We start from the raw sequence: 12,556 nt of genomic DNA, 5'->3' as shown, positions 1-12,556 counted from the left end.
AATGGGTGCCCCCAGGGTTTCTCCAAGGGGTAGAGAGAAGATAGGGCTTGCATCCGGGGGCACAGTTGGCTTGTCTACACTCTAGATACCACCTGGGATTTCTGAGAGACTTCTGATCTCTGAAGCCACATGCCTAGGACAGTGATTCTCAAACTCAACTGTGTGTATATCAGAATTTCTGGATGGGCTTCCCAAAATGCAGATTGGCAAGCCCCAGCCTCTGAGTTTCAGATTCAGTGAGTGGACCTGAGAGTGTGCATTTCTAACAAGTTCCTAAATGATGCTGATGCTGATGGTTCTGGGCTCACACTTTAGGAACCACTTTTTTAGTTAACTCATAGAATTAGAAGTCCTGGGCTTGTGCCCTAGCACCAGGATGGAAAGAATACCATTTCTAGAGTGAGAGAGACCTGGATTGAAGCCTGAACACACCTACTTAACTTGAGGCGTGACCCAGAGTCACATCATCTCTGAGTCTCAGTTTCTTCATTCTGGAAAAGGGAATAATAATATATGATTCACAGGATTGTTGGGAGTTAACGTATAAGTGTCAGGCACAGAGCACCCCCAGTTCCTGGCTATGTAGTTGGTGTAAGAAAGTGTCCTCTTTGAGCAGCCAAATGTTTACCCTTCATGGGGGTTAGTGAGTTCTTTCAGGCCTGGTTGAGTGTGCCATCCTAGGTAACTAGCAGACACAAAGAGGGTCTGCTAAAATAACAGGACTTCGGCCCAGAAATAGTTCTCTCAGGTAGATTGATTCTCAAGGGCTACTGGCAAGGTGTGATTTGGGGACAAGTCCTTGCCTGTCTCTCTCTGGGCCTCAGTATCCCCACCTTTAAAGTGAAGGGTTTGACCTAAATGATTTACTGTCTCAAAGGTTTCCTCCTGTTCTGACGAGTGTAGGACTCTGTGACTTAGAACTTGGGCACTTATTTCAGAATGGTCTATTAAAAGGAGAATAAAAAATAAGATTCTTGTTTTTAACCATTTAGTTATTTTTAACGTCCTTAAACTTTCCAGCCTTCTTTTAAACTGGGATACTGCACAAAAAGTCAGGGACAACAGCTAAATATAACAATGTCCTTCACAGCTACATCTCCTTAAAATGCTCCATTACAGGTATAAAATGGTATATCTGTTATTTCATAGTGACATCTAGTGGCTTTTCCTTATCAAAGAATAAGATACGCATTTTCCTATTTGCTCATCATAAGCTCTGCTGCTTCTCCTGCAGAAATTCATTCAACAATCTTTTATTAATTGCTTACTTTATGTCAAACATTGTGCTAGGCCCTGAGGATAGATACATGGTTCTTACCCTCCCAGAGCTCATAGTCCAGCGGAAGAGGCAGAAAAATCGCTTGACAATCCCAGCACATTGTGATACATGTTACAATGGGAGAACACCAGGGCGTCTGGAGCAGAGAAGGGGGTGCTTAACTCCATCCAGGGAGGTCAAGGAAGGTTTCGCGGAGGAGACAGTCTTTGAGTTGAGTTTTGAAAGACTTTGCCAGGTAACCTACAAAGGATAAATAGAAGCCATTCAAAAGAGTGGGCACTCCATATACAGAGGCAAAGCACCTGTGGAGTCACTGCCTGGGACTTTGATTTGGAAAATTCAGCATATAGGGTATAGAGCAAGGTTCCTCAACCTTGGCATTATTGGCATCTGAGGCAGGGTATTTCTTTGTTGTAGGGGGACTGTGCATGATAGGATATTTAGCAACATCCCTGGACTTGACTTACTAGATGCCAGTACCAACCCCCTCCCCAAGTCATTACAACCAAAATATCCCCAGATATTGCCAAGTGGCCCAGAGTTGGGGGTTTGGGGAGTGGAGATGGAAGATCACTCACAATTGAGAAAGACTTGTATAGAGGGAGCTCACTTGAGAAGGCTGGACAGAAAGAAAGGTGGTTGCTGGATTCCACAAGGCTGTCTGTAGCATGTGGAGGAGCTTGGCTTCATGTCATAGTTGATAGGGAGCCATTGGGAGGGCTTAATTAGGGAATGACAGGTCAGGTATGTGCCATCTGGGGGTGTGGAAGTGGCATGGGACTGGAGACCTGAAGAGTAGGACGGGATGCTACTGCAATGTTTTAGTAGAGAAGTGATGAAGGCCTGACCCCAGGCAGTGGTGCAAAGGATGGATTTCAGAGCTATTAGAAACTGGAAAGGACTTAAGCGAATGTTTAGCTCTTAGTAGTGAGGGGAGATTAGAGGAGTCAAGGATGGCCCTTTGGTTTCTTGCTTGGACAACTCTTTCATTTGTTGCTATTATTTCGACAATTGCTTATCAGTGACAGGAAAAAGTTGGCCTAAACTTGTAGACACAAAGCAGGTTCACTGTGCATTGTTTATAAACTTCTATGGGTTTGGTGAGACAGAACACACTCATAAGCAACAAGTTACATGAAGTGGGTTTATTACTTACAGATAGGCAGCAAGGGACAAAAGAAGCCTAGGATCCACTGTGAGATGGTTTCCCAAGACTCAAGAAAGCTGCCTGGGTGAATGAGTCTCGATTAAGCATGCCTCACTTGCACCATAGCTGAGAGACCCCAAAAGGCAGCCTTTCCTGAGTTATATACCTCAGGGGCCATGTGACTCATTTAGCAAAGCTTTGAAGGACATCCTGCTTCTGAGAGAAAGGAACAAAGGCTGGGCTGTCCCAGGCAGTTCCTCCCTATCTCAAGATGTTAGATTCTCCAGGAAGGACTGGAACAAGGCTTTTGCTGTTTCAGGCAGTTCCTCCCTATCTCAGGATACTGCACTCCCAGCACATTCTACAGTTATTCTTAAGAATGACAAGCAAGAATGAGGGGAGTATTGTGTTGGTCCAAGGCCACCCAGAGAACTGTCATTCAGTAGAAGGTGGTAAACCTTTAACTGTGTAGTGCCTGTAAAGTCACCATGGGCATACAGAAGCACCAATCAGCCATTCAATTAACCCATGTAACCCAATGGGGAGTCATGGCTCCAATTTAAAAATGTGACACCTTGTCATTTTAATTAGGTGATACATTTGGTCACAAGAAAGTCCTGTCCAATTACTACTAAGTGAAACAGGTGGCGTATGATTTTCCTGGGGCTGAACTGGCCTCATTCAGTTAAAATTCAGTCAGTCCATTCAGCGGCACCCTTCAGTTTCATGTCAACCTGAAGAAAGATTTCCAGCAACTATCAGAGACTTGCTCTCACCTGCATCTTGCTCTGTTTTGATCAATGCCTGAATCCAGGCATTGCCAACAGGAACAGGAAAGTATGGTGAAGATATTGGGGGATATAATCAGAATGTAGATGTCTTTTGACAGGCTTAGATTTCCTCCATCAAGAAGAGATTAAACAGGGCCACAAATACACTGCATCAGTTCCTGACAATATAGATTGCGTTCCAGCGTGGCATATATGTGAAAGTATGAAACAATTGAGCTTACTGTGTATCAGTGGTGTGGTGTGGCCGCCAAAATGGTCCATGTGATCTGAGGCCACATTAAGAGAAATGGTGTCAAGAATGAGGAAGGTGATAGGCTGTCCCTTCTTGTTGCTTGTCAGATCGTGCTTAGCAGGCCATGTTCCAATAAAGTGGAATGCACTTGCAGGCAGACAACAGGATAGCGGGGCCTTGAAGCTATATAGAGAATAGTTGAAAACCATTTTTAGCATAAAGAAGAGAAGCCCTGGGGTAAATGCTGTCTTCGAATATCTGAAGCCACACAAGTGGAATTTTAAAAAGGTCCCTAAATAGACCATGATGGTCTGGAAATTACCACTTTGTGCTGACCACTCCGTACCTTATCTTCAGCCCAGGTTGCTCTCTGAGTGCCAGATCTGTTCATTCAACTCTACTCAGATGTCCCGCAGGCACCTCAGTCCTTCCTCCAGAGCTCTAGGAGGCATCCTTAAGTCCTCCTCCTCTTTCTCCCCCGAATCCCTTTTGTCACTTTTACCCGCTAAATATTTCTCTAGTCTGCTCCTCCTTCTCTTTTGCCTTGTCTTCTGCAGTGGCCTCTTAACTAACTTCACGAATTTCATCTTCATATACATAATGATCTTTCTAAAACACAGACCTCATCATGTCATTCCCCTGCTTAAAGCCCTTCAAAGCCTCTCTGTTGCCTGCAGAATTAACTTTGAATGCTTTAATATGGCATCTGTGGCCTTTCACAACCAGGTCCTGGGCTCCCTCTCCATCTTCAATTCCTGCCACTACTCCTTCACTCCCCGGGAGGTTTTTTGATGCACGTTTCTCTTGCACAATAGGCTGGTTTATGCCTCTGTGCCTCTGCTCATGCTGATCCTTCTGTCTCATACTCCTTTCCTCTCTCCTTGACTCATTTTTTTTTTTTTTTTTTTGAGATGGAGTCTCACACTCTGTCACCCAGGCTGGAGTGCAGTGGTGATACCATGGTGCACTGCAGCTTCTACCTCCTAGGCTCAAGTGATCCTCTCGCCTCAGCCTCCCTAGTAGCTGAGACTACAGGTGTGCACCACCACGCCCACTAATTTTTCTATTTTTTGCAGAGACAGGGTTTCACCATGTTGTTCAGGCTGGTCTTGAACTATTGGGTTCAAGTGATCTGCCCACCTTGGCCTCCCAAAGTGCTGGAATTACAGGTGTGAGCCACCGTGCCCAGTTGCCTCATCTAATTCTTGTTTTTCAAAATAAAGCTGCAGAAACCCTTGTCTTATCTTTAGGCTAGGTTAGAAATCAGTGTGAGGTGTTTTTTTTTAATCATACCCTGCACTTGCTCCAAGCATTCATGGCACACACAATTGAAACACTTTCCCCGGGTTTCCATGTCTTATCCCTGTCTGTATCCCCAGTGCCTGCCATAGTGCCAGGCACACATTAGGTGCCAAGACTAAGCAAGTCTTGACCTGACCTGACCACTGAGGGAAAACTGGCCATGTCTCTGTTTGCCCCCGACCCCAGCTGCATTCCCCAGCGTGCTTCTCTGATATTGCCCTAAAAGCTCTTCCTTGGATATAATGAGCATCCTGGATTCTTTTTCTGACATAACCTCCAAGGTGTTATCTTTACCTGCCTTCCTACTTCCAACACACCATGAAATTCAGGAGACCCCTGGACCCTGGACACCTACCCTTCAGCAGATCTTTCTTTCTTTCTACACATGGAATATTTCTAAGCAGCATCAAGTGCTTTCAGTTGAGGCATTCTGGGTCCCCAAGGCTATTTGCCCTGGAAGAAGGGGGCTGTTGACACTCACTGAATCTCTGCAGGTTTTGTCATATGAGTCTAGGTGGCTGTTATCACCAAGGCAGCAGTGTGTGTATGTGTGTGCCCCTCTAACTTCTCTGCTGCAGTGAAAATCCCTACAGTGTAGACACTGAGGCTGCCTACGTTGGGCTGTCCGTATTTCTTAAGGGCACTAGGTGACCTTCAAGTTGAATGCATACTGGATCCACACACCCACAACATGAGAGACCCTCTCTGAAAGTCTGTCTCTGTGTTGCCTTCTCTCTATCCATGTTGGGGTAGGGGTGGTGCTTATGAAACATTGATTGTGTCATTAACCCTGGTGGTTGGGATGTATTTGCTCTGAAAGGCTAGGAACAATGTTTAGGAAGGAGAGCTGCAGACTTCCACTGTGGTGCACTCTTAATATTTACCAGAAGATGTCACTGTAGGCTTAAACCAATACAAGAAGTTAGGGCAAGAAGACTTCCAGCTAAGCATGAAGGTGACTCCATTTTGGGGGGTTAGAACACCGAGCAGCCCCCATTACAATGCATGCCTGGAAAAGCTGGTTGAAAGGTTAATCCAAATGTGTCACAGACCTTAATAAATTTCTTTTTTTTTTTTTCCAAATAATCAGACTAATTGCCACTAAACTGTTGCCTCAGGGCTAGCATAAAGGCTCAATAAGTATGCACTGAATGGATGAGTACTAAAGCTAGGAGTGGAAGGAGGGAACCCAGGGCTTTAGTAGTCATCTTTGTTGGTAAAGGCTACTGGAGAACAAAAGCTGCTACTCTTTAGCAGTGGCTTCTCATAGAGATGAATTTTAGTGGCACCAACAAGATCAGGTCCTAGGGAAAGTAGTGAGACAAGTGAAAGTGCTCTTGGCCCCTTTTCCATCCTCACTCCCAGATGCTTCTCCTGTGCCCAATGCTTGTTTCTTCCTGAAAAAATATATAAAGTGATTTATTTTAAGAAAAACCTTCCTGTGATTTTTTGCAAGGCACTTAGAAGATTATCCAGAGTTTTTATGTCATGAGGCATGTCCCTAGCTCTCTCCTTCCTCTTCCCCAGGATAGTTCATCAAGTAAGCAGTTAAAGAAGTTACTGAGATTCTGCTTTATGCCAGGGATGAAGGCCAATGTACAAAGCTGGAATGGATGGGATGAGGGCTATATAGAAGAATAGGACAGAGCCCCTGTCCTTGAAAACATAGTTTAAGTGGAAATATAAACAATTAATTGTAATTCAGTATCACACATTTTTGGGGGAGGCAGTGGGGTGGAGGGGTAGGGTCTCACTCTATTGCTCAGGCTGAAATGCAGTGGCACAACCACAGCTCACTGCAACCTCCGTCTCCTGGGTTCAAGTGATTCTCGTGCCTCAGCCTCCTGAGTAGCTAGGATTACGGGAGCGCACAACCACACCTGGCTAATTTTTGTATTTTTAACAGATGGGGTTTCACCGTGTTGTCCAGGCTGGTCTCAAACTCCTTACCTCAAGCAACCCACCCACCTCAGCCTCCCAAACTGCTGGGATTACAGGCATGAGCCACCGTGCCCAGCCCCAGTATCACAAATATTTTAACAAAGGCTAAGTATAGAAGTGCTATGGCAACACAGAGGAAGAAATGATAACTGGCAACACAGAGTGGGGTACATTTTTTCACAAAAGAGATGGTACTTGAACTGGTATTGAAGGATGAGTAGAATTTTCCAGCCAAAGAGGGAAGATCATGGCAGGCAGAGCAAGCACCATGTACAGGATAGAGGCATAGGAGATAGATTTCAGGATGCCTGAGGTGATGGAAGCCCCAGTTGGGAGAAACGTTTCCTCAATGAACATCAGCCAATATTCAGTTAAGCAGGTGGCTGAGCAGGTTCCCTGTGGCTCCTCATGTATGTGTAGAGAACAACCACTCCCTCAGATGGGAATGAATATTTCAGAAAAGTTGCAAGCCATTCTCCGGGTTTCCTTTAAGAAGCTAAATGCTAATATTCAATGTTTATTGTTGCTTTCTTTCCACAATATGCCCTTCTGTGGCCTCGTCCTTCATCTTCTGTACCTGAGTGGTAACCCATTTCTCATGAAAAGCACAATGACACGGTTCTCTCCTTAAGTATGCCTGATTGTATCATGGACTTGATGTTTCTGGGGCGTGTGCCTACCATGTATGGTGTGAGTGTGTTAACATGTGGTTTAAATGTTTGCTAGTCTGCTATTTGAGCAAAGAACTTTGTTTGAAGCCCTAAAGAGAAGACAGCCATACAGCAAAGCCTCCACACTTGCTGACATCCACGTGCCCTTTTAGTAGATAAGGAAAAGGGACATTTTGAAGCTGCTGATAGAGTTAAGTTTCCTATCCTGGGAATATTATCATAGGAGCAAAGGTGGAAACCAAGGTAGTAGCTTGCATACATGCCATTGGCAGCTACCATGTCTATTTCAGTCAGTGACTAACCACAGCGTTTATTGCTGGAGGCCCTGGGCTACTCTGCCTATCTCTACATTCCACTTCCATAATGTATGAGCCATAATATGACAACAGCCAGAATCAAGAGTATCATATCATACACTCTTTTAATGAGTTTTTTAAAAACAAAAAGATATGCAGATTAGACTGGATATTAGAAAAAATGCTATTGCATATTTAATAAGATTCGAATTTGAACCCACTTGTCAACTCCATTTCACTCCAATAAAGTATGTGCTTCCAATGAGTCTCCATTTCATGATCACTAAATGGTTTAGAGTGGGGGGCATGAAATAAAGTGGTTGCCTAGTTAGCCAATGGTGTCATTGGGAAGATTTTGTCTTTGGTTAGAGAGGGAGAAAAAGAGGGGAAGGGGGAACGAACGGGAGTGAAGCATGACAAGGTCAATGTCTGGAATCTAACCTTTTCATACCTGTTTTAGCTGAAGTATCAGCAAATTGGTTGAAAAAATTAGCTATCTCTAGGCTAGTGAGACTCAGAGAGGGGACTGCAGTACAGTTTACAGGACAAATGCCATCAGATCCCTGTCATTTTTGCTTTGCCTTCCTTTTTAGCCAGTGAACACCACATATGCCATGTACCTCCATGACTCCACTTATTTCGCCCATATCTCTGACTGTTGGTTTTTGTGCTTCATCCATAGGAACTTCCACTACATCACCATCCTCCGAGACCCAGTGTCCCGGTACTTGAGTGAGTGGAGGCATGTCCAGAGAGGGGCAACATGGAAAGCATCCCTGCATGTCTGCGATGGAAGGCCTCCAACCTCCGAAGAGCTGCCCAGCTGCTACACTGGCGATGACTGGTCTGGCTGCCCCCTCAAAGAGTTTATGGACTGTCCCTACAATCTAGCCAACAACCGCCAGGTGCGCATGCTCTCCGACCTGACCCTGGTAGGCTGCTACAACCTCTCTGTCATGCCTGAAAAGCAAAGAAACAAGGTCCTTCTGGAAAGTGCCAAGTCAAATCTGAAGCACATGGCGTTCTTCGGCCTCACTGAGTTTCAGCGGAAGACCCAATATCTGTTTGAGAAAACCTTCAACATGAACTTTATTTCGCCATTTACCCAGTATAATACCACTAGGGCCTCTAGTGTAGAGATCAATGAGGAAATTCAAAAGCGTATTGAGGGACTGAATTTTCTGGATATGGAGTTGTACAGCTATGCCAAAGACCTTTTTTTGCAGAGGTATCAGTTTATGAGGCAGAAAGAGCATCAGGAGGCCAGGCGAAAGCGTCAGGAACAACGCAAATTTCTGAAGGGAAGGCTCCTTCAGACCCATTTCCAGAGCCAGGGTCAGGGCCAGAGCCAGAATCCGAATCAGAATCAGAGTCAGAACCCAAATCCGAATGCCAATCAGAACCTGACTCAGAATCTGATGCAGAATCTGACTCAGAGTTTGAGCCAGAAGGAGAACCGGGAAAGCCCGAAGCAGAACTCAGGCAAGGAGCAGAATGATAACACCAGCAATGGCACCAACGACTACATAGGCAGTGTAGAGAAATGGCGTTAAATGGCTCAAAAAGGCCTGTACATACTTCTCCCAAAGCGCCACTGAAAAGATGGCATAGCTTAAAAGATGAAAGTGTCCAAACACATCCTGCTTCCTTCATTGGGGAAGTTTTAAAAAAAAGTTTAGATGTTGCCTTTACAGTTGCCTTTCAATTCAGTGTTATACTGTGTGTAGGTAAAACAAATCTCAATATGGAATTAAATTGTCTTTTTGGGGTTGGACTAAATATGAAATCCGAAAGCCAAACCAGACTCACCAGAAATTGCTGTTTAGATATTTTAAGAAGTTCTTAAATTAGTTATGGAGACAAAGTGAAAACATAAAATGTGACCATTTAACTTATGGCTAAGAAATGGACTTTAAATTATTCATGATACACTGTTAAAACCCAATCTTGGAATCAAATATTTTTTCCAGGGGTGAGAATAAGTATAAACATAAAGCAACTAAAATGAAACATAAAACCTTTTATTTTCTTCTGATTTTAACAAGGAATCTATTTAAATAGAATAACAACTGATGGTGAATCTTACCGAGCTGTAGAAAATAAAAAATTCCTCTCCAAACATGGGTAGTTTTATGTCAAAATATTGGCTTTTCAAGAACAGGACTCATATCTTGATATTTAAGAGATGTTTAAAATTTTAAACTTTTTCTACCTTCTACTGTTTAAAGGTTTTACACAGGGTGTATCTCACATTAAACAAAACACCTTTTTTTCAAAATGAAATACCAATGTAAAGATCTAATTTCCAGGCGCTTTCAGGGCACTGTAATTTCAACAATACTGGAATCATTTTGGCGCTGCTTCTCATTCATTTTAAGGCTTCTCTGAATTGTGCTCATTCCAAATTAACCCATGTATAGAATCTTTCTTCATCATCTAAATGGTGTGTTGCTGAAGTTATTGTGGTATATAATCCTGGATTAAAGTCAGGACTTTCTTTCTATAGAATTATTTTATCAATATTTGTGTAGTGAGGTCCTAATCAAGAAACTTGAACAGGATAATGTGTCTAAAAATATTGCTGAAGTTATTCTTGATCAGATAGAATTTAACCTAAAATGTGAACTCTTACTTACTTTTTGTACATCTCTATTGTAATGTTTCCAGTTGGGCCAACTATTTCTAGCCCTTTAGTTCTTTTTCATGTTGACAGATTTGTAGACAATTACAAAAGCCAAAAAAGGATAAAATAAGCATTAGGAAGGCTAGCCAGTTATTCAATAGCACCTTGATAATGTGGGCAAACCCTTCTACAAAGTTTTTGTTTTGAAAAGAGCAAAAGTAAAAAGTGTTCTGTAGTGAGGTTACATATCAGGAACATATGAGTTGAGCAGAGTAATTTGGTAGTGTAAGTCGATGCAAAAATACTTCTATGGTACCTATTACAAGCTGACCAAGATAAAAAGAAGTATGTAACCCACTGTGCTGTCAAGCATCATGATTCCGGGCAGTTTTCATTTTACTGTGGATTTTGCTATACTTATGCAAGGACTTACACTAACCTCCTGGCTGTAAATCAAACAAGGTGACTGAAAGTGGCATTTATGTTTTCACAAGGGACATGCTTAGAAGTGTGACCATAAAGTCACATCTTGTACAATCTGCTCATGTGTTTCATCTGTAGTAATATAGCCACAAACTGGACAAGAAGCTGGGTATTTGGGTTTAAAATAGATTTTCTTGACTCTGAGCTTGTATCAGTATTTCTAGCTTTTGTTTTGTCTGACAGTATTGCAGTCTTGAAAATCCTGAGAGCTAAAAAACTGAAAGGAATTTTTCCACACCTTGAAGTCACAGTGTTTTAGAGTAAAACTATTTTGTGTACAATTGTGTTTTTAAAATAGTTAGTAGATCACTATGGTATTTCAATTTTCTTTAGTTTTAATTGAAAATGTTTGCTTTTAAAACTGATAGGTATTGTTGGAAAGCAGGATGAAGCCTGAGCCAGTGGAAAAGCTTGTTACAGAAAAAACATTTTGTGTTATTGCTGTGGTGTGCATGATTTGCAAAGATTAAGTGCATTTTCTCTGTCTATACTGATTATTGTATATAGAGGATGTTATAAATATACATATACATTTTTGCCATTATGTAAATCCCATGATTTCAACTGTAAACATCTGTCCATTGGTGTAGCTTTACAAACCATTCACTGATTTTGTGTAATTTAACAATAGATATGAAATAAAGTTTAAATTACAGGCTCTGAGTAATCTCATAATTTCAAGATTTGCAGCTGCTAGACATTGTGATCTCACAAACCAGAACAGAATTTTTTTCAACAAGACATTTCCTTTTATCCTCTTGGCAGCCAGGTATGAAAATTAGATGGCCCATTCTAATCCCTCACACTAAAATGGCCTTAATTTGGGGTGATTCCTTCTGGGAGTCCATGTTTTTTGTACAAGCGTGTCCAACCCACAATGGTGCTCTTCATTCTCCCTTCTATCCACAGGGTAGAGTTTAAATGTAAGCATTAATGTATTGGTTTTTAAAGTCCCAAACACAAAATGTGCACATTTTTTCAAACAAACTCTTATAGTTAGCACTATGGGGGAGTGGGGTATGATTTGTCCTTGCGCTTTTCCAAAGAGACTTTAAATGTCAGTCCCAAGGGGTTAGAGGAAGAAAGCTACAAATTTGGTTGGAGATGTAGTTAAGTAGCCTTAGCCTGTAAACTATTCATATGTATTGTATAAGTCCATTTTCATACTGCTATAAAGAACTGCCTGAGACTGGGTAATTTATAAAGGAAAGAGGTTTAATTGACTCACAGTTCTGCATGGTTGAGGAGGCCTCAGGAAACTCACAATCATGGCAGAAAGTGAAGGAAAAGCAAGGCATCTTCTTCACAAGGTGGCAGGAAGGAGAAGTGCTGAGTGAAGGGGGAAGAGCCCCTTATAAAACCATCAGATCTCGTGAGAACTCACTATCACAAGAACAGCAAAGGGGAAACCACCCTCATGATTCAATCACCTCCACCTGGTCTCTCCCTTGACACATGGGGATTATGGGGATTACAATTCAAGATGAGATTTGGGTGGGGACAAAAAGTCTAACCATATCAGCTTACATGGTTTTGCCTGTCAACTGCTTCTTGATCAATATTTGGGCTGCCAAAGGGCCTGATTGTATAAAGATCCTACACCCCCTTGGGAGGATCTGTGAACAGGAACATAAAGTCCAAGAACTTGAAATATTTCAGAAATAAAGTTTGGTTCCCTTTTCCCCTGAGGAGGGTAGGTACTCATGGAGAGCAGGGCGCTCTAACTGTAGTGGAGAAAAGATAGGAAACCTGCTAAGGAAATGAGCTATTGAGGCAGCCCAGGGAGGAGCT

General features: G+C 42.6%; 1 protein-coding gene across 9 annotated transcripts in view; it reads left to right on the top strand.

The window, feature by feature from the left end:
* The window catches only part of HS6ST2 (heparan sulfate 6-O-sulfotransferase 2), a 335,356-nt gene extending 323,936 nt beyond the window's left edge, over positions 1-11,420 (top strand). For all 9 annotated transcript variants that reach the window (NM_147175.4, XM_047442618.1, NM_001077188.2 and 6 more), the window contains one exon: positions 8,342-11,420. In NM_147175.4, the coding sequence (NP_671704.3) occupies positions 8,342-9,212 (871 nt within the window). In that variant the 3' untranslated portion in view covers positions 9,213-11,420. The remainder of the gene's footprint in view (positions 1-8,341) is intronic.

Source organism: Homo sapiens, chromosome X (genome assembly GCF_000001405.40).
Source record: "Homo sapiens chromosome X, GRCh38.p14 Primary Assembly".
Taxonomy (NCBI): Eukaryota; Metazoa; Chordata; class Mammalia; order Primates; family Hominidae; genus Homo; species Homo sapiens.
The sequence above is the reverse complement of the archived record's forward strand: the minus strand, read 5'-3'. Positions and strand labels throughout refer to the sequence as shown.